The sequence below is a fragment of the Homo sapiens genome, chromosome 7 (assembly GCF_000001405.40).
Source record: "Homo sapiens chromosome 7, GRCh38.p14 Primary Assembly".
Lineage (NCBI taxonomy): Eukaryota > Metazoa > Chordata > Mammalia > Primates > Hominidae > Homo > Homo sapiens.
In genome coordinates this window covers 133,888,226-133,907,339 of record NC_000007.14, presented here as the reverse complement: position 1 = coordinate 133,907,339, position 19,114 = coordinate 133,888,226, and the positions used below count along the sequence as shown (strand labels likewise).

The window sequence follows — 19,114 nt, the reverse complement described above, 5'->3', positions numbered from 1 at the left end:
TATATTTTAAAAGTCTAAATTACAATACAATGGAATAAATACCAGCATAAAGTTACACATAATAAATTATAGGAGCACACAATAAAAGCTCACTTGCTGAATGCCCTCTATGAAACAGATATTGTGTATATTTTATAATGTTTTTGGTACTTATTTAATGTTTAATAGAAATGAATATATATCAGTGTTAGGAGATAACATAGCTTCAAGAGACAGATCACAAGCTGGAGCTTGCAGAGGGTTTCCCTGGTATACACCCTTGGCCGTTCTTGTTACCAGGGGGTCCTTGCTCCCAGAGCTCCCAAGATGGTGGCTGGCCGCTTCCAAGATGGTGGCAAGCCTCGTGTTCTCTGACCTGGGGTTCTTGGCCTCACAGATTCCAAGGAATGGAATCTTGGGCTGTGCGGTGAGTGTAACAGTTCTATTAGAAGCCATGGGTCACAGAAGAGAACCGTGGAACCCAGTGACTAGTGTTCAGCTTGATTAGGACGAACCCGGACACTTATCTGTGCAGGAGCAATGGCAAGCCTTTAGCCCGATCGGGGGCGGCAATAGGCCCCTTGGTGGATCAGGAGCACAGTGGACACCCTGCCGGATCTGGAGGGATGGAAGTCAGCGGTGGGTCTGCGATGGCAGCAAACAGCGGTAGTGGACAGCGAGCGAAAGCTCAGCTCGAGCCGTAGTAAACACAGAGCAGAAGAATGCAGTTGCAAGATTTAATAGAGTGAAAACAGAGCTCCCATACAAAGGGAGGGGACCCAAAGAGGGTAGCCGTTGCCGGCTCGAATGCCTGGGTTTATATCCTGATCATTGTCCCTCCTGCTGTGCTCTCAGGCAATAGATGATTGGCTATTTCTTTACCTCCTGTTTTTGCCTAATTAGCATTTTAGTGAGCTCTCTTTACTACCTGATTGGTCGGGTGTGAGCTAAGTTGCAAGCCCCCGTGTTTAAAGGTGGATGCAGTCACCTTCCCAGCAAGGCTTAGGGATTCTTAGTTGGCCAAGAAATCCAGCTAGTCCTGCCTCTCACTCTGAGGTTCAAAGTTAAGTTAGGTTGGCAAAAGCTCCAAGGCCAGCTCAAGGAGAGTCTCATTCCTATAGGACCCTGGCCTCTGGCTACACAGGAAACCTGAAGGGCTTCAGAAGCCACCAGAGTCCCTAGTGTCTAGTCTGTGCTATTTAGCACAGTGGGGCCAGTGAGATCATAAAACACCACTTCGATCATGTACTCCTTCTTACCAAGACCTATGAAAGCACTCTTTTACCTAATACAAGAAATTTCTCCTTTCCTGCCCATTTCTACCCAACCACACTGTCCACTCTAGTCACTGTGATTTCTCAACCTTTCTCCCACGCACCATGGTCGTCCATGCTGCTCCACTGCTTGCTCGTCCTGTTCAGTCTGGTAGAAATTTCCTCAATGAGCATACCGAGGGTCAACAAGCTGCCTAGCCCCGTGCCAGCTCTGATGTCTGCCATCAGCGAGTGCAGGCTTCTCCTCCTCTCACTCTTTCTTCATGTCCAGCATGAGTTCTAGCTCCTCTCTGAAGTTGTGAAAGGGGTGTGCTAAAGGTAACATGCTTATGTCTTAAATCAACTCAAACCAACTGAGCCTCTAACACTAGGGAAGAGGTTTTATTTGTATTCTCTGCCAGGCCCAACACAAGGCAGAGAGCCTCCTTATCCCCCACCTCCAAGAAAAAAAAATTGATTAATGAACTGATAGTAAATTGGAACAGAGAGAAACTTCCGAAAACTGCGATTTCCAATCTTTAAATTATTATTTTGGGACACATGAGCTGCTGGATGGATCTCAGGACAGAGGACAGGCAAGGGGAGGGAAGCACTCTGCTTGGAAGTAGGCAACTCATGGGCCAAGTGCCTGATTCCTAATGAGGAGCAGTACAGAATTCACAGCTGAGTTTCCCTTTAAGCCCCAAGGGGTGTGGATAATTAGGGAAAAGACTTCTAGCCCTCATTTCCCTGTTTAGGAAACCCCTCTTTATCCAAAGCATGTAACCTGACATTACCTGAGGCACAGTCTGTCTCTAGAGTGAGGTACTCATAGAAAGGTGATATGTTTTTCACCTTTCCTCAGATCTCTAAGCTCCCAGGAGCTGCCCAGGTTTTCATGGGAAGCTTGGAAAACAAGCCAACCCTCAGCAGAGGGCATTGTGAGTTTCTAGATTTGATGATTTCTCTGAAGGATATCTGCTGAGGATCACATGGGAGAAAATCAGAGTGCAACGTCTTCCTGCTCCCTTCCTCCTTCCCCAGTGTTATACCATTTTGGATCATTTGAATTGTATATGGCTTTCTATTTAAGTCAGTCATTTGCTGGCAGCAAAACTAGAACATTTCCTGTTTTTCCCCTCACTGTAATCAGGATTTGGCCGTCCAAATTAGGACTGCCCTAATTAGTCCTCAGCAGGTGCCAATCTGGGGGAGGGCAATAAATGGGAAGAGAGGAAGTAAGGACACTTTGCATCTTCAGAGTCATACAATAAGAAAACACTTTCTCCAGAAACCTGAATACGCTGATTAACCAGCAGCAACAGCACCGTGGGGGCATGTGTTGTGCCTTTGAGTGTGCATTGTTGTATAACAACCAGAAAGATGATTTTCTATTTATTCCCTTTCAAAGCCTCAAAGAATACTTTTCCCAATCCTGAGAAAAATTTAACCCAGGTCCATCATTCAGCAACTATGGTAGATCCCTCCCAGATAATCCCCTGAGATGTGACAGTGGGCACCAACAGGTGGACACCATTTCAGAGACTGTGGCTAGCAGAGATGCCACAGCAGTAGAGTTTCTTACGGGAAGGAATCAAAATGCTCCTGATGACCAGAATATGTCAAAAACCAAAGCAATGGCCATGTTCCAGAGTAGTAGTCCAAGAGAGATAGAGTTTGCTGTTTGGACAAAGCGGTAAAATATGAATGACAGAGAAATAACACAATTCCTATAGAACGGACAGACAGCGCAGGCAAAACTATCCATGTTCCCGCCTAAACCAATCACTCCAGTTGCACACCCCTCCTCCACCGCTACTTCCCTGGCCAAAAACATAATTTCAGGGATTTTCCCCTTTCTTTCTTACATCACCAAATTTTCATTCTTCCCAAGTCCTTTTCTTCAAATACAAATATGTACTTATTTCTTCGACTTAAAAAACACATAAAACAAAAAAACCTTCCTGTGACCTCATTTCTCCAGCCACTATGCCATTTCTCTGTTCGCCTTTGCTGCAAAACTCAGTGCAAAAGTTTTGCCTCTATTTACCCTTCCTCTACTCCCAGTCTCTTTTTTAAGGCCACACCCATCCAGTTTTCATCCCTACTACTCCACAAAAACATTTACATTTATCACTCAGTCCGTGCTACATTTATCACTCAGTCCGTGCTGAGTTCTAATGCTGGCAACACTACAACACTGTATTTTCTAGATTTTCCTCCTCCTTCACTGGCTGCTGCTTGTCAATGTCCTTTGATGGTTTCTCGTCATCTTGCAAACTTCATAAAAGTCCATGGTCCTCTTCTTTGCCATGAGTATACTCCCTCCTGTGAAGATTTCATCTAGTCCCATAGTTTTAAATTCCATTTAGCTATACTATTTATATGTTGATGGCTGCCAAATATCTATCTCCAGGCCAGACCTCTCTTGTTTTGATGCATATGTCCAACTCCCTCCCCCACATGGCTAAGAGACACTCTAAATTTAAGCACTGATCTGCTTGCCTAGACCTGCAGCATCCTCCGTCACAATAGCTGGCAACTCCATCCATCTTTTCACTGCTCAAATATAAAATCCTGAGAGTTATTTTTGACACCTTTCTTTCTCTCACACCCTATCTTCAATCTGGCAGGGAATTCAGCTGGCTGGTCCTTCAAATACATTCAGAGTTCACCCAGTTCCCTCCATCTCTGCTGCTACCAACAGTGCAAAGAGTCTTCATTTCTCACCTGGGTTACCACTGTGGCCTTTAGGTGGTCTCACTGCTTCCATCCTTGACTACCTAAAGCCTATTTTCAATACTTAAAATTTAAAATATATGTAAGATCATGCTGCTCCTACGCACAATCCTTGTAATGGCTTCTCATTTCACTCAGAGTAGTACTCAGCATCCCTAGAGTGGCTTACCAAGACCTCCATTCCCTCTTGGTGATCCTTCAATACCCTTCCTCCTCTCGCTCACTTTACTCCAACCATGCTGGCCTCCTTGCTGTTCCTTAAAAGTGTCCCGGAGCGTCCTGCCTCCTGGCCTTTGCCCTGTGCCAGTGCACTCTACCCAGATGGCTGGTCAAACTCTTTCAACTCCTTGGAGCCTTTCCTCTAAGCTCAACTCAACAGAGCCTCCCTGGGGCATCCTATTTAAAACTACAACCTGCTCCTCTCACACTCCTGAGTCTATCTACTTTACTCCATTTCTTTTCTCCACAGTACTTACTATCTTCGAAAATTCTTTTTTTTTTTGTTTTGTTTTTTTGAGACAGAGTCTCATTCTGTCGCCAGGCTGGAGTGCAGTGGCGCAATCTCGGCTCACTGCAACCTCTGCCTCCCGGGTTCAAGCGATTCTCCTGCCTCAGCCTCCTGAGTAGTTGGGACTACGGGCACCTGCCAACACACCTGGCTAATTTTTTGGCGTTTTTAGTAGAGACGGGGTTTCACCATGTTGGCCATGATGGTCTCAATCTGTTGACCTGGTGATCTGCCTGCCCTCGGCCTCCCAAAGTGCTGGAACTACAGGTGTGAGCCACTGCGCCCGGCCCTAAAATTCTTTATGTTTATGTATTACATTCATTTATTGTCTATCTCCCCTCTCCCATTCACAACAGAACATAAACCCCATGAAAGCAGATATTTAATCTGCTTAGTTCACTGTTATATCTACAAACTCTTGTACTAGCACTCAATAAATATTTGTTGAATAAATGGAATTCTAGAAACCAAGTGAATAAATTGTTTTAAAGATGCAGTGATCCACTGTGTTTGTTAATGGTTATTGAGATCAAAAAAATTCCTGAAAGGTTTAACAAATTTAGGGAAGGATCTTGTGATGCCGAAATAATTCAAAGCATGGAATCACAGAACCACTGCTGATCATTTTTGAAGGTATCCTGACACACAGGAGAAAATGCCTGGGAGCAAATCCCTGATGTTCATAAAAGAAAAGCAACGTAAATTACAGAAATGAGGTGAATTTGGAATTGTAGGCAAAATTCTGAACAGATAATTAAAACATAGTTCATGAATAATTAGAAAGTGGTACTCACTAGAAGCTAGGAGGATCTCACGAAGAATAGGTCACATGATCCTTTCCTAACTGACTGGGGCGGTGGTAAATTTGGCTCTTGGTTATCTTGATCTTGTTTCCAAAGGTAATTTGAAAGCTGCCCAAGAAGAGAGTTCTTAAGGAATGCTTCAGTTGGGAGAAGTGGGTCCTAACAGTAAAGGGATGGGAGGATTCTTGAACAAATATCTAGTATTGTCCATAACAGGCCTGCATGCCAACATGAGGAAGGGTTGGCTGCATTAAAAGAATCAGGCTGGGAAGACACCAGCAAGAAACCTGATCAATCTTTTATAGGGCAGATTATGAAATATGTGGAATAGTGTCATGGGAACTGGTAAAGGCAATCACTGTCATTACCATTATTATCATTATCAAAATAGCAGCAAATCATTTTTGGGGGAGCATATCACTTCGCTAAAACCAGTTATAAAAGATTGACAATTTTTGAAATAACGCTTTGAGGAAAGGACTATTATTACCTTTTTGCAGATGAGGAAATCAAGGCAGAGAGGCTGAGGAGCTTTTCAGTGTCATATAAATAGTAGGTAGAAAAGCTGGCATTTAAACTTAAGCTGTAGGGCCTGCTCTTGAGCTAAAGCCCAGGTTCCTAGTTAGAAAAACATATGAACTCCTGAGGCACTAAGTAATATACAGATGTCAACATACAAGGAAGTGTCAGGAGGTATAGCTCCCCAATTCTCAACTTAGTCTTATGCTGTTGGACATTTTTTCAATGACATGCATAAAAAAAAGATTGCTTATGTAATCAAGGAAGACAAGGAACTTACAGGAATAGCTAAGATTTTTTGACGACAGAATGAAGATTCAAAAATATCTCAATAGGCTGAAATGGTGACTTAAAAATAACATTAAATTTGGCCAGGCATGGTGGCTCATGCCTGTAATCCCAGGACTTTGGGAGGCCGAGGTGGGTGGATCACCTGAGGTCAGGAGTTTGAGACCAGCCTGGCCAACATGGTGAAACCCCATCTCTACTAAAACTACAAAAATTAGCCAGGTGTGTTGGTGGGCACCTGTAATCCCAGCCATTTGGGAGGCTGAGGCAGGAGAATCATGTGAATCTGGGAGGCGGAGGCTGCAGTGAGCTGAGATCGTGCCACCGCACTCCAGCCTGGGCAACAGAGTGAGAATCTCTCTAAATAAATAAATAACATTAAATTTAATGGATAAATGTGAGATCCTGAATTTGTGTTTTACAAAAATCACCATAAATACAGCATAGAAAAGATAATACTAATTTCAATCTGTATTTCTTCTTCTATAGCCAATCAGTGGCCAAAGTCTTATCAAGTTTACCTCTTTACTATCTCTTAATCTGTTCCTTCCTCTCCATTTTCCTTCCCTGTCCCCTGATTCAGGCACTTAATGTCTCTCTCCCCTCTATCTCTATACTCTTGCTTTTCAAATCCATCTTACACAAAACTCAGAAAAATTTCCCTAAAGCACAGGTGTGCACGTGGCACTCCATGCTTAACACCCACTCAGTGGCTCCTCGCTACCTAATTTAAAAAGGCAAAGTTCCTTGAGTCTGACATTCGCGATCCTCCAGTCTGACCCAAGCTTTCCTTTCCACATCCTAGACATTTATCACTTGTTCGTGCTCTTCTTCAAACCTATGTCTAATTCCTCTTCACTCTTCACAAAGCCTAGTTCATATACTTCACTAAGCCTTCCCTGTCCTCCTTCGTAATTTCTTCCTCCCACAGCAAGGCATTTTTACCTATCTTGCCATATTTTCTGTCATGAATTAATGCTGTGGATACATGCTTTCTATTTCTTTGTCCCATATTTCCCTTTCTATTCTTCACCAAGAATATGAGCACATGAAAGGTAGAATCTTGACTGATTAATTTCTTTATCCCCACACACCCTCACAGCATCTTGGTAAATGCTCAGTAAATACCTGACAAATGCAATGATAGGACACACTAAGAAGCATTGTGTCCAGCACTGGGTCCTGAACAAGGAAAGTGATGGTGCTGCTCAACACCCAGAGTGCATCTGGGCACTTGGTGAGGCCGAGGCGGTGGGAGAATCGCTTGAGGCCAGGAATTCGATCGAGACCAGCCTGGCCAACATGGTGAAACTCCATCTCTACTAAATAAATAAATAGACAGTTGGGCATGGTGGCTTGTGCCTGTAGTCCCAGCTACTCAGGAGGCTGAGGCAAGAGAATCACTTGAACCCGGGAGGCAGAGGCTGCAGTGAGCCAAGATTGCGCCACTGCACTCCAGCTCTGGCAAAAGACTCTGTCTCAAAAAAAAAAAAAAAAAAAAAAAAGAGTACATCTGGAACACTGGGTATACTCTGGGGCACTCCTTTTTAAGATGGACACTGCCAAGCTAATGGGTAATGGAGAAAGATGACTGAGATAGTTCATAGACCAGGGCATACCAGAAACTGGGAATGTTCAGTTTAAGGAGGGAAAGCAAGACTAAATGGACTATGATAGCTATCTTCATATATTTCAAGGGCATTCATAAAAGGATTAAACTGATTTGTTATCATTCAGAGAAAAGAACTATGTCCAATGGACAGGAGAGTATCACTTCAAACAAAGAGAAAACTTCCAGATGAAAACTATTCAACAATGATCAGTCTGCTTTGCAGATGCAGTGGCTTCCAGCCACTTGACATCTTGAGAGGCAGGAACATAAATGATTGGAAAAAAAATCACCCATGATGAATATGGTGCCAAGCTGCAAGAACTTAAAACATGTCTTTCAAGACAACAACATCAATAATACAATATAAACGGCTATCAGTGGGATTTACATTCTAGAGACAACTTGACCTTATCATGGTCAGGTTACGCAACATCTCCACTATAATTACTATTTATCAACATTATTATTTGTAAGAAAGTTATTGGGTGCCCATAATCAGACAACTTACTAGAAAAAGAGGGCATGCCCTACTTAAAAAAAAAAAGCTTTATATTTAATGGAGGTTCAACATAAATTTAAAATATAATATTATTAAAATGCAATTATTTTAAAAATTTTAAACTTTTTAATATTTAAGTTTTATTTTTATTTTTTATTTTTTGAGATGGAGTCTCACTCTGTCATCCAGTCTGGAGTGCAGGGGTGCAATCTCAACTCACTGCAACCTCCACCTCCCAGGTTCAAGCGATTCTCCTGCCTCAGCCTCCCGAGTAGCTGGGATTATAGGCATACACCACCACACCTGGCTAATTTTTGTACTTTTGGTAGAGATGGGCTTTCACCATGTTGGCCAGGCTGGTCTCGAACTCTTTTTTTTTTTTTTTTTTTTTTTTGAGACAGAGTCTTGCTCTGTCGCCCAGGCTGGAGTGCAGTGGCGCGATCTCTGCTCACTGCAAGCTCCGCCTCCCGGGTTCATGCCATTCTCCTGCCTCAGCCTCCCGAGTAGCTGGGACTACAGGCGCTGCCACCACGCCCGGCTAATTTTTTTTGTATTTTTAGTAGAGACGGGGTTTCACCGTGTTAACCAGGATGGTCTCGATCTCCTGACCTCGTGATCCGCCTGCCTCGGCCTCTCAAAGTGCTGAGATTACAGGCGTGAGCCACTGCATCGGGCCTAAGTTTTAATAGTTAAAATATTTTATTCCATTCTCTTTTGGTAGATGAGACGTTGGTACTACCACTTTGGAATCTGGTTTTGTAAAACTGAAAATCCAAGACTCTAATGGCCCAGAAATTCCAATCTCAGGCAATTAACCTAGAATAGTGGCTTTTACAATTGTTATTGGTGTATCCTTTAAAATAATTTTGAAAAACTATATTCTCCTTCCCTTTTTAAGTTGACATTTAATTTTTTTAGCCTGCATTTAAATAGATGCAACAGATATAAATTTTGGCATACCCTAAAGACTGACACTGTTAAAAATCACTATTTTAAATGTATCCAATGGCCAGGCACAGAAAGACAAATATTGCATGATTTCACTTATATGGGGACTCTAAAAGAGTTGAACTTATAGAAGTAGAGGGTAGAACAGCGGTTGCTGGAGGCTGGGGGCTGGGGGATTGGGGTGGGTGTGGGGTGAGGTGGGGAGATGTTGCTCAAACCATACAAAGTTTCAGTTAGAAGGAATGCCATTTTGAGACTGATTGAACATCATGGTCACTATAATTAACAATAATGTAATATATATTTCAAAATGCTGAGAGTAGATTTTAAATGTCTGCAGCACAAAGACACACAAAGAGAAGTATGAGAGGTAATGGATATGTGAATCAGATTGAATGTAATCATTTCATAATGTATTCATATATCAGAACATCCAATTGTAGCTCATTATATAATTATTATTTGTCAATTAAAAATTTTAAAAAAGCATCCAATAGAATCTCAATGCCATAGGGATTTGATACCCTCCATTATACATTTAAAATACATATGAACAAGCTCTTCTTTAACAGCTGGATATGTTTTGCTTTTCCTTTTTCTCTTTGAATTATTATTTCTATTTCATTTCCTCACTGGAATTTATCCTAATGAAATATATTTTTATGCTTGAAATTATTTTATTATTCCATTGTAGCTTTTTACAAAAGACTATCTGTATAAATTAAAATCCAAAAACTTTAAATTTTCTGTTACCACAAGGCTAAATTTTAACTTTCTTTTGTTTGAATTGCCATTATAATTATTATTTAGTACACAACCAATTGACATAATTGTTAAGTATATGTATGATTTTAACCTAAATATAAGTTTTGATAAATAATTATTGAACATAAAAGGTTATTGGGACTGCATCTCAATGAGATGGTTGTTGTTTAATTTGTCCATGTAACTGTGGATCATTCTTCTTGCTGGAATGAGGAAGGATAAGCATTAATCTATGTTGTATTCCTCTGCCAAATTCATCTTCCGTAAACACTGCTTCCTTGCTCACTTATAATGATTCCATATCTGCTATCCAACATCTACATTTTCAGAATGTTATTTTTTTATGACCCCTTTTTAGTTGGTCTTAATCTTCCTATTCAACATTATCTCCTACTAGATTCTAATAGGAACTCTGTTCCAGTCAAACTATCTCCTCATTGTCCCCTTTAAATAGTGGGCAACTGGGCCGGGTGTGGTGGCTCATGCCTGTAATCCCAGCACTTTGGGAGACCGAGGTGGGCGGATCATGAGGTTAGGAATTCGCGACCAGCCTGGCCAACATGGTGAAACCCCATCTCTACTAAAAATACAAAAATAGCCAGACATGGTGGCGCGCACCTGTAGTCCCAGCTACTCAGGGGGATGAGGCAGGAGAATCGCTTGAACCTGGGAGGCGGAGGTTGCAGTGAGCCAAGATTGTGCCATTGCACTCCAGCCTGGCAACAGAGCGAGACTCCTTCTCAAAAAATAAATGAATAAATAAATAAATAAAATAAATAAAATAAAATAGGGGGCAACTGTCTTATTGCTTCCTCCACCCCTGCCTTTATGTTTCTCTCCACCTCCGTAAATTTCATGAGTCCAGCACATACCTCACCTGCAAAACCATTCCCGACTACAACCCCTTTCTCTTTCTTGTTTTTTGTTCCTTCTGCCCTCACAGTCTATACTGTACAAGTAGCACCTGATTATGTACTGCACTTTACCTATCTATCCTTCATTATATATCACATATAATTTAGTATTTTATTATACATTCTTTTCTTCCCTAATTGTTTCATGTCTTGTGAACCAGATTATAATTTGTTCCCATTATTAGCTTTCTTAGAGAATTGCTATGATCTTTTCCACAAGCCCAGAGAGATTTTTTTGAACCTAAGGAAGGAAATCAGAGGGATAACTAATGGTTTTCAAGTTCATAACAATGGTTTTTCATTGCTACTGATGCTGAAAACAGGGGTAACTGTTCTTTTGTGACAGTAGGAATGCTACAAATTAAATATCAGGAAGAATATATTTTTAATTAAAAGGAAACACTATTAAAGATTATTAAGAGTTTCAAATTGCTCTACTTTAAGGATCTTTTTAACCACAAGATAGACTAACCAAGATCTGGAATTTCCTTGAGGAACATGATCTTATCATTCTAGGTTTTCATGAACATCAAGGCTGACACATAATCTGAGCCATGCATTGGTAGTCCTAGTGGCTGCGTCCCTTCATCACTTTCATTCTCTCTGTTGGTCTGACTACACAAAGGTCTAGGAGGCTATTTCCATGATGCATGTTCTCATCTCTTGACAAACTCAGAGATGATCCTTTTGGAAATTAGGCTATTGAAGCAATTTCACCAATTGGAACCACCATCAGGCTCAAACGTTACTTTGCTTAGCCCCTAACAGAAGCTCTACCTGTAAGCTGCAGTGCAGGTGTCCTTGTACTCCTGGAGCTTCACGCACACCATGTTGAGGAATTGATCTGAATATGCACTCAAGTCATGCATCAGGTTCAGGAGGTCTTGAACTGTCTTCTCCACAATGATTGTGCTCTGGAAATGAACAACAAAGAGAGGATATGAGATTTCTGTAGTCAATGTGTTGGACAAGGAAGGACAACTCCAAGTATGTCATAATTTAAGGTACCTGAGCTCTCCTGCAAGAATGTGACATTTTGAAATATGAACTCAAAACAGGGGGAGGAGCCAAGATGGCCGAATAGGAACAGCTCTGGTCTACAGCTCCCAGCGTGAGCGACGCAGAAGACGGGTGATTTCTGCATTTCCATCTGAGGTACTGGGTTCATCTCACTAGGGAGTGCCAGACAGTGGGCGCAGGCCAGTGGGTGCGCGCACCGTGCGCGAGCCGAAGCAGGGCGAGGCATTGCCTCACCTGGGAAGCTCAAGGGGTCAGGGAGTTCCCTCTCCGAGTCAAAGAAAGGGGTGACGGACGCACCTGGAAAATCGGGTCACTCCCACCCGAATATTGCGCTTTTCAGACCGGCTTAAAAAACGGCGCACCACGAGACTATATCCCACACCTGGCTCGGAGGGTCCTACACCCACGGAATCTCGCTGATTGCTAGCACAGCAGTCTGAGATCAAACTGCAAGGCGGCAGCGAGGCTGGGGGAGGGGCGCCCGCCATTGCCCAGGCTTGCTTAGGTAAACAAAGCAGCCGGGAAGCTCAAACTGGGTGGAGCCCACCACAGCTCAAGGAGGCCTACCTGCCTCTGTAGGCTCCACCTCTGGGGGCAGGGCACAGACAAACAAAAAGACAGCAGTAAACTCTGCAGACTTAAATGTCCCTGTCTGACAGCTTTGAAGAGAGCAGTGGTTCTCCCAGCACGCAGCTGGAGATCTGAGAACGGGCAGACTGCCTCCTCAAGTGGGTCCCTGACCCCTGACCCCCGAGCAGCCTAACTGGGAGTCACCCCCCAGCAGGGGCACACTGACACCTCACACGGCAGGGTATTCCAACAGACCTGCAGCTGAGGGTCCTGTCTGTTAGAAGGAAAACTAACAAACAGAAAGGACATCCACACCAAAAACCCATCTGTACATCACCATCATGAAAGACCAAAAGTAGATAAAACCACAAAGATGGGGAAAAAACAGAACAGAAAAACTGGAAACTCTAAAACGCAGAGCGCCTCTCCTCCTCCAAAGGAACGCAGTTCCTCACCAGCAACGGAACAAAGCTGGATGGAGAATGATTTTGACGAGCTGAGAGAGGAAGGCTTCAGACCATCAAATTACTCTGAGCTACGGGAGGACATTCAAACCAAAGGCAAAGAAGTTGAAAACTTTGAAAAAAATTTAGAAGAATGTATAACTAGAATAACCAATACAGAGAAGTGCTTAAAGGAGCTGATGGAGCTGAAAACCAAGGCTCGAGAACTACGTGAAGAATGCAGAAGCCTCAGGAGCCAATGCGATCAACTGGAAGAAAGGGTATCAGCAATGGAAGATGAAATGAATGAAATGAAGCGAGAAGGGAAGGTTAGAGAAAAAAGAATAAAAAGAAATGAGCAAAGCCTCCAAGAAATATGGGACTATGTGAAAAGACCAAATCTACGTCTGATTGGTGTACCTGAAAGTGATGCGGAGAATGGAACCAAGTTGGAAAACACTCTGCAGGATATATTATCCAGGAGAACTTCCCCAATCTAGCAAGGCAGGCCAACGTTCAGATTCAGGAAATACAGAGAACGCCACAAAGATACTCCTCGAGAAGAGCAACTCCAAGACACATAATTATCAGATTCACCAAAGTTGAAATGAAGGAAAAAATGTTAAGGGCAGCCAGAGAGAAAGGTCGGGTTACCCTCAAAGGGAAGCCCATCAGACTAACAGTGGATCTCTCGGCAGAAACCCTACAAGCCAGAAGAGAGTGGGGGCCAATATTCAACATTCTTAAAGAAAAGAATTTTCAACCCAGAATTTCATATCCAGCCAAACTAAGCTTCATAAGTGAAGGAGAAATAAAATACTTTACAGACAAGCAAATGCTGAGAGATTTTGTCACTACCAGGCCTGCCCTAAAAGAGCTCCTGAAGGAAGCACTAAACATGGAAAGGAACAACCGGTACCAGCCGCTGCAAAATCATGCCAAAATGTAAAGACCATCGAGACTAGGAAGAAACTGCATCAACTAACGAGCAAAATCACCAGCTAACATCATAATGACAGGATCAAATTCACACATAACAATATTAACTTTAAATGTAAATGGACTAAATTCTCCAATTAAAAGACACAGACTGGCAAGTTCGATAAAGAGTCAAGACCCATCAGTGTGCTATATTCAGGAAACCCATCTTACGTGCAGAGACACACATAGGCTCAAAATAAAAGGATGGAGGAAGATCTACCAAGCAAATGGAAAACAAAAAAAGGCAGGGGTTGCAATCCTAGTCTCTGATAAAGCAGACTTTAAACCAACAAAGATCAAAAGAGACAAAGAAGGCCATTACATAATGGTAAAGGGATCAATTCAACAAGAGGAGCTAACTATCCTAAATATACATGCACCCAATACAGGAGCACCCAGATTCATAAAGCAAGTCCTGAGTGACCTACAAAGAGACTTAGACTCCCACACATTAATAATGGGAGACTTTAACACCCCACTGTCAACATTAGACAGATCAATGAGACAGAAAGTCAACAAGGATACCCAGGAATTGAACTCAGCTCTGCACCAAGCAGACCTAATAGACATCTACAGAACTCTCCACCCCAAATCAACAGAATATACATTTTTTTCATTACCACACCACACCTATTCCAAAATTGACCACATAGTTGGAAGTAAAGCTCTCCTCAGCAAATGTAAAAGAACACAAATTATAACAAACTATCTCTCAGACCACAGTGCAATCAAACTAGAACTCAGGATTAAGACTCTCACTCAAAGCCGCTCAACTACATGGAAACTGAACAACCTGCTCCTGAATGACTACTGGGTACATAACGAAATGAAGGCAGAAATAAAGATGTTCTTTGAAACCAACGAGAACAAAGACACAACATACCAGAATCTCTGGGATGCATTCAAAGCAGTGTGTAGAGGGAAATTTATAGCACTAAATGCCCACAAGAGAAAGCAGGAAAGATCCAAAATTGACACCCTAACATCACAATTAAAAGAACTAGAAAAGCAAGAGCAAACACATTCAAAAGCTAGCAGAAGGCAAGAAATAACTAAAATCAGAGCAGAACTGAAGGAAACAGAGACACAAAAAACCCTTCAAAAAATCAATGAATCCAGGAGCTGGTTTTTTGAAAGGATCAACAAAATTGATAGACCGCTAGCAAGACTAATAAAGAAAAAAAGAGAGAAGAATCAAATAGACACAATAAAAAATGATAAAGGGGATATCACCACCGATCCCACAGAAATACAAACTACCATCAGAGAATACTACAAACACCTCTACGCAAATAAACTAGAAAATCTAGAAGAAATGGATACATTCCTTGACACATACACTCTCCCAAGACTAAACCAGGAAGAAGTTGAATCTCTGAATAGACCAATAACAGGAGCTGAAATTGTGGCAATAATCAATAGTTTACCAACCAAAAAGAGTCCAGGACCAGATGGATTCACAGCCGAATTCTACCAGAGGTACAAGGAGGAACTGGTACCATTCCTTCTGAAACTATTCCAATCAATAGAAAAAGAGGTAATCCTCCCTAACTCATTTTATGAGGCCAGCATCATTCTGATACCAAAGCCGGGCAGAGACACAACCAAAAAAGAGAATTTTAGACCAATATCCTTGATGAACATTGATGCAAAAATCCTCAATAAAATACTGGCAAAACGAATCCAGTAGCACATCAAAAAGCTTATCCACCATGATCAAGTGGGCTTCATCCCTGGGATGCAAGGCTGGTTCAATATACGCAAATCAATAAATGTAATCCAGCATATAAACAGAGCCAAAGACAAAAACCACATGATTATCTCAATACATGCAGAAAAAGCCTTTGACAAAATTCAACAACCCTTCATGCTAAAAACTCTCAATAAATTAGGTATTGATGGGACGTATTTCAAAATAATAAGAGCTATTTATGACAAACCCACAGCCAATATCATACTGAATGGGCAAAAACTGGAAGCATTCCCTTTGAAAACTGGCACAAGACAGGGATGCCCTCTCTCACCGCTCCTATTCAACATAGTGTTGGAAGTTCTGGCCAGGGCAATCAGGCAGGAGAAGGAAATAAAGGGTATTCAATTAGGAAAAGAGGAAGTCAAATTGTCCCTGTTTGCAGACGACATGATTGTTTATCTAGAAAACCCCATCGTCTCAGCCCAAAATCTCCTTAAGCTGATAAGCAACTTCAGCAAAGTCTCAGGATACAAAATCAATGTACAAAAATCACAAGCATTCCTATACACCAACAACAGACAAACAGAGAGCCAAATCATGAGTGAACTCCCATTCACTATTGCTTCAAAGAGAATAAAATACCTAGGAATCCAACTTACAAGGGATGTGAAGGACCTCTTCAAGGAGAACTACAAACCACTGCTCAAGGAAATAAAAGAGGATACAAACAAATGGAAGAACATTCCATGCTCATGGGTAGGAAGAATCAATATCGTGAAAATGGCCATACTGCCCAAGGCAATTTACAGATTCAATGCCATCCCCATCAAGCTACCAATGACTTTCTTCACAGAATTGGAAAAAACTACTTTAAAGTTCATATGGAACCAAAAAAGAGCCCGCATCACCAAGTCAATCCTAAGCCAAAAGAACAAAGCTGGAGGCATCACACTACCTGACTTCAAACTATACTACAAGGCTACAGTAACCAAAACAGCATGGTACTGGTACCAAAACAGAGATATAGATCAATGGAACAGAACAGAGCCCTCAGAAATAACGCCGCATACCTACAACTATCTGATCTTTGACAAACCTGAGAAAAACAAGCAATGGGGAAAGGATTCCCTATTTAATAAATGGTGCTGGGAAAACTGGCTAGCCATATGTAGAAAGCTGAAACTGGATCCCTTCCTTACACCTTATACAAAAATCAATTCAAGATGGATTAAAGATTTAAACGTTAGACCTAAAACCATAAAAACCCTAGAAGAAAACCTAGAAATTACCATTCAGGACATAGGCGTGGGCAAGGACTTCATGTCCAAAACACCAAAAGCAATGGCAACCAAAGCCAAAATTGACAAATGGGATCTAATTAAACTCAAGAGCTTCTGCACAGCAAAAGAAACTACCATCAGAGTGAACAGGCAACCTACAACATGGGAGAAAATTTTCGCAACCTACTCATCTGACAAAGGGCTAATATCCAGAATCTACAATGAACTCAAACAAATTTACAAGAAAAAAACAAACAACCCTATCAAAAAGTGGGCGAGGGACATGAACAGACACTTCTCAAAAGAAGACATTTATGCAGCCAAAAAACACATGAAAAAATGCTCATCATCACTGGCCATCAGAGAAATGCAAATCAAAACCACTATGAGATATCATCTCACACCAGTTAGAATGGCAATCATTAAAAAGTCAGGAAACAACACGTGCTGGAGAGGATGTGGAGAAATAGGAACACTTTTACACTGTTGGTGGGACTGTAAACTAGTTCAACCATTGTGGAAGTCAGTGTGGCGATTCCTCAGGGATCTAGAACTAGAAATACCATTTGACCCAGCCATCCCATTACTGGGTATATACCCAAATGACTATAAATCATGCTGCTATAAAGACACATGCACACGTATGTTTATTGCGGCATTATTCACAATAGCAAAGACTTGGAACCAACCCAAATGTCCAACAATGATAGACTGGATTAAGAAAATGTGGCACATATACACCATGGAATACTATGCAGCCATAAAAAATGATGAGTTCATGTCCTTTGTAGGGACATGGATGAAATTGGAAACCATCATTCTCAGTAAACTATCGCAAGAACAAAAAACCAAACACCGCATATTCTCACTCATAGGTGGGAACTGAACAATGAGATCACATGGACACAGGAAGGGGAATATCACACTCTGGGGACTGTGGTGGGGAGGGGGGAGGGGGGAGGGATAGCATTCGGAGATATACCTAATGCTAGATGACGAGTTAGTGGGTGCAGCGCACCAGCATGGCACATGTATACATATGTAACTAACCTGCACAATGTGCACATGTACCCTAAAACTTAAAGTATAATTAAAAAAAATAATAATAATAGTAATAATAATAAAATAGCTCTGTGGACTCTGAAAAAAAAAAAAGAAATATGAACTCAAAACAACAACCAAATAAGTATCTTACACAGCGCTGGTCTTCCCAAGACCTGAGCAAGTTTTTTCTCTGGAAGGACACAGAATAGGGATTTTCAAGTCGCTATCATGGAATTCTTGACACTCACAAGATAACTCTGGCTTTTAAGACAGAAAATGCATATTCAGTTGGAGCCTGATTTATCACTCCAAGGCTTTTTGAGATTAGGGACCTATGACAGGCAGCACAAAGAAAAAACCTTCCATGATTTATTTTAAAAGTTTCAAAACCATCAATCTATTCAGAATAACAACTAACATTTGTATTGTGTTTTACAGCTTGTAGAATGTTTTCACATACACAGCATATGTTATCTCACTTGAGACTCACATAATAATCATGATAATCATGAACATTTAAAGGGTTCTTACAAGTGCAAAGTACAATGATAAGCACTTTGGATATTTTATTTTGTTTAATCCTCTCAACACCCCTATCAGGTGTATCCTATAATCATCCCCAGTTTAAAGATGAGGAAACAAGCTTAGAAAGATGAAATAAATAAAGAAGGAGCTCCAGGCTTTGCTCCTCTAAGTATACCATTCTGCCTCAGAGCCAGACCGGAGTTCTGCTGCCCACAGTGCATTTTCTCACGAGATTACAGTGTTTCATATTGCTGTCACCACTGTAGGCGCAGGGTCCAAACACACTCAGACATATTTTAAAACTGAATTAAAAAAACTATCTGAAAGGAAAAATAAGCCCATCTTAAAGCTAGATGCCGACAGCACTGTGCAGCAAATCAGTGTTATATCTGAAAAAGACGCATAGTCAACAAATTCTAAATTTTTTATTAAGAAAAGACTGAGTTGTTTAAACCATTAGTTCATGCCTCTTTCAAAAGAAGCAGAAATACACTGGGGTAAATATTAATCACAGGCTGAGCAGCTTGGAATCCTTCGGTCAATAACTGGTTTGTTGATTTTGTATTTATATAAAATTACATAGGCTATGGTAAGCTTAGCCATAAAAGTATGCTTAAAAAATACTTTTCCAGTCTTGACAGTGAACTATGAATAAATCAAAGGCATTTTTATTATGCTTAAATACAGATTATGGGGTACAGGGTTTTGGCTAATTATTTTCTAAAAGAATA

The 19,114-nt window shown here is 41.4% G+C and overlaps 1 protein-coding gene across 10 annotated transcripts in view, besides 1 other annotated feature; it reads right to left on the bottom strand.

Moving 5' to 3' along the window:
• Positions 1-19,114, bottom strand: part of EXOC4 (exocyst complex component 4) — an 847,874-nt gene that overhangs the window by 193,612 nt on the left and 635,148 nt on the right. For all 10 annotated transcript variants that reach the window (XR_007060126.1, XR_007060125.1, XR_007060123.1 and 7 more), the window contains one exon: positions 11,605-11,741. Coding sequence is in view for 2 of the 10 variants with exons in the window: in NM_021807.4 (NP_068579.3) it covers positions 11,605-11,741 (137 nt within the window). In the remaining 8 variants the exon portion in view is untranslated. The remainder of the gene's footprint in view (positions 1-11,604; positions 11,742-19,114) is intronic.
• Positions 12,117-12,737: an enhancer, noted in NCBI's record as "OCT4-NANOG-H3K27ac-H3K4me1 hESC enhancer chr7:133579356-133579976 (GRCh37/hg19 assembly coordinates)". NCBI's record gives its function as "activates a minimal SCP1, AML or CMV promoter by ChIP-STARR-seq in naive H9 embryonic stem cells {active_cell/tissue: H9 hESC(naive)}" and the evidence as "EXISTENCE:reporter gene assay evidence [ECO:0000049][PMID:30033119]".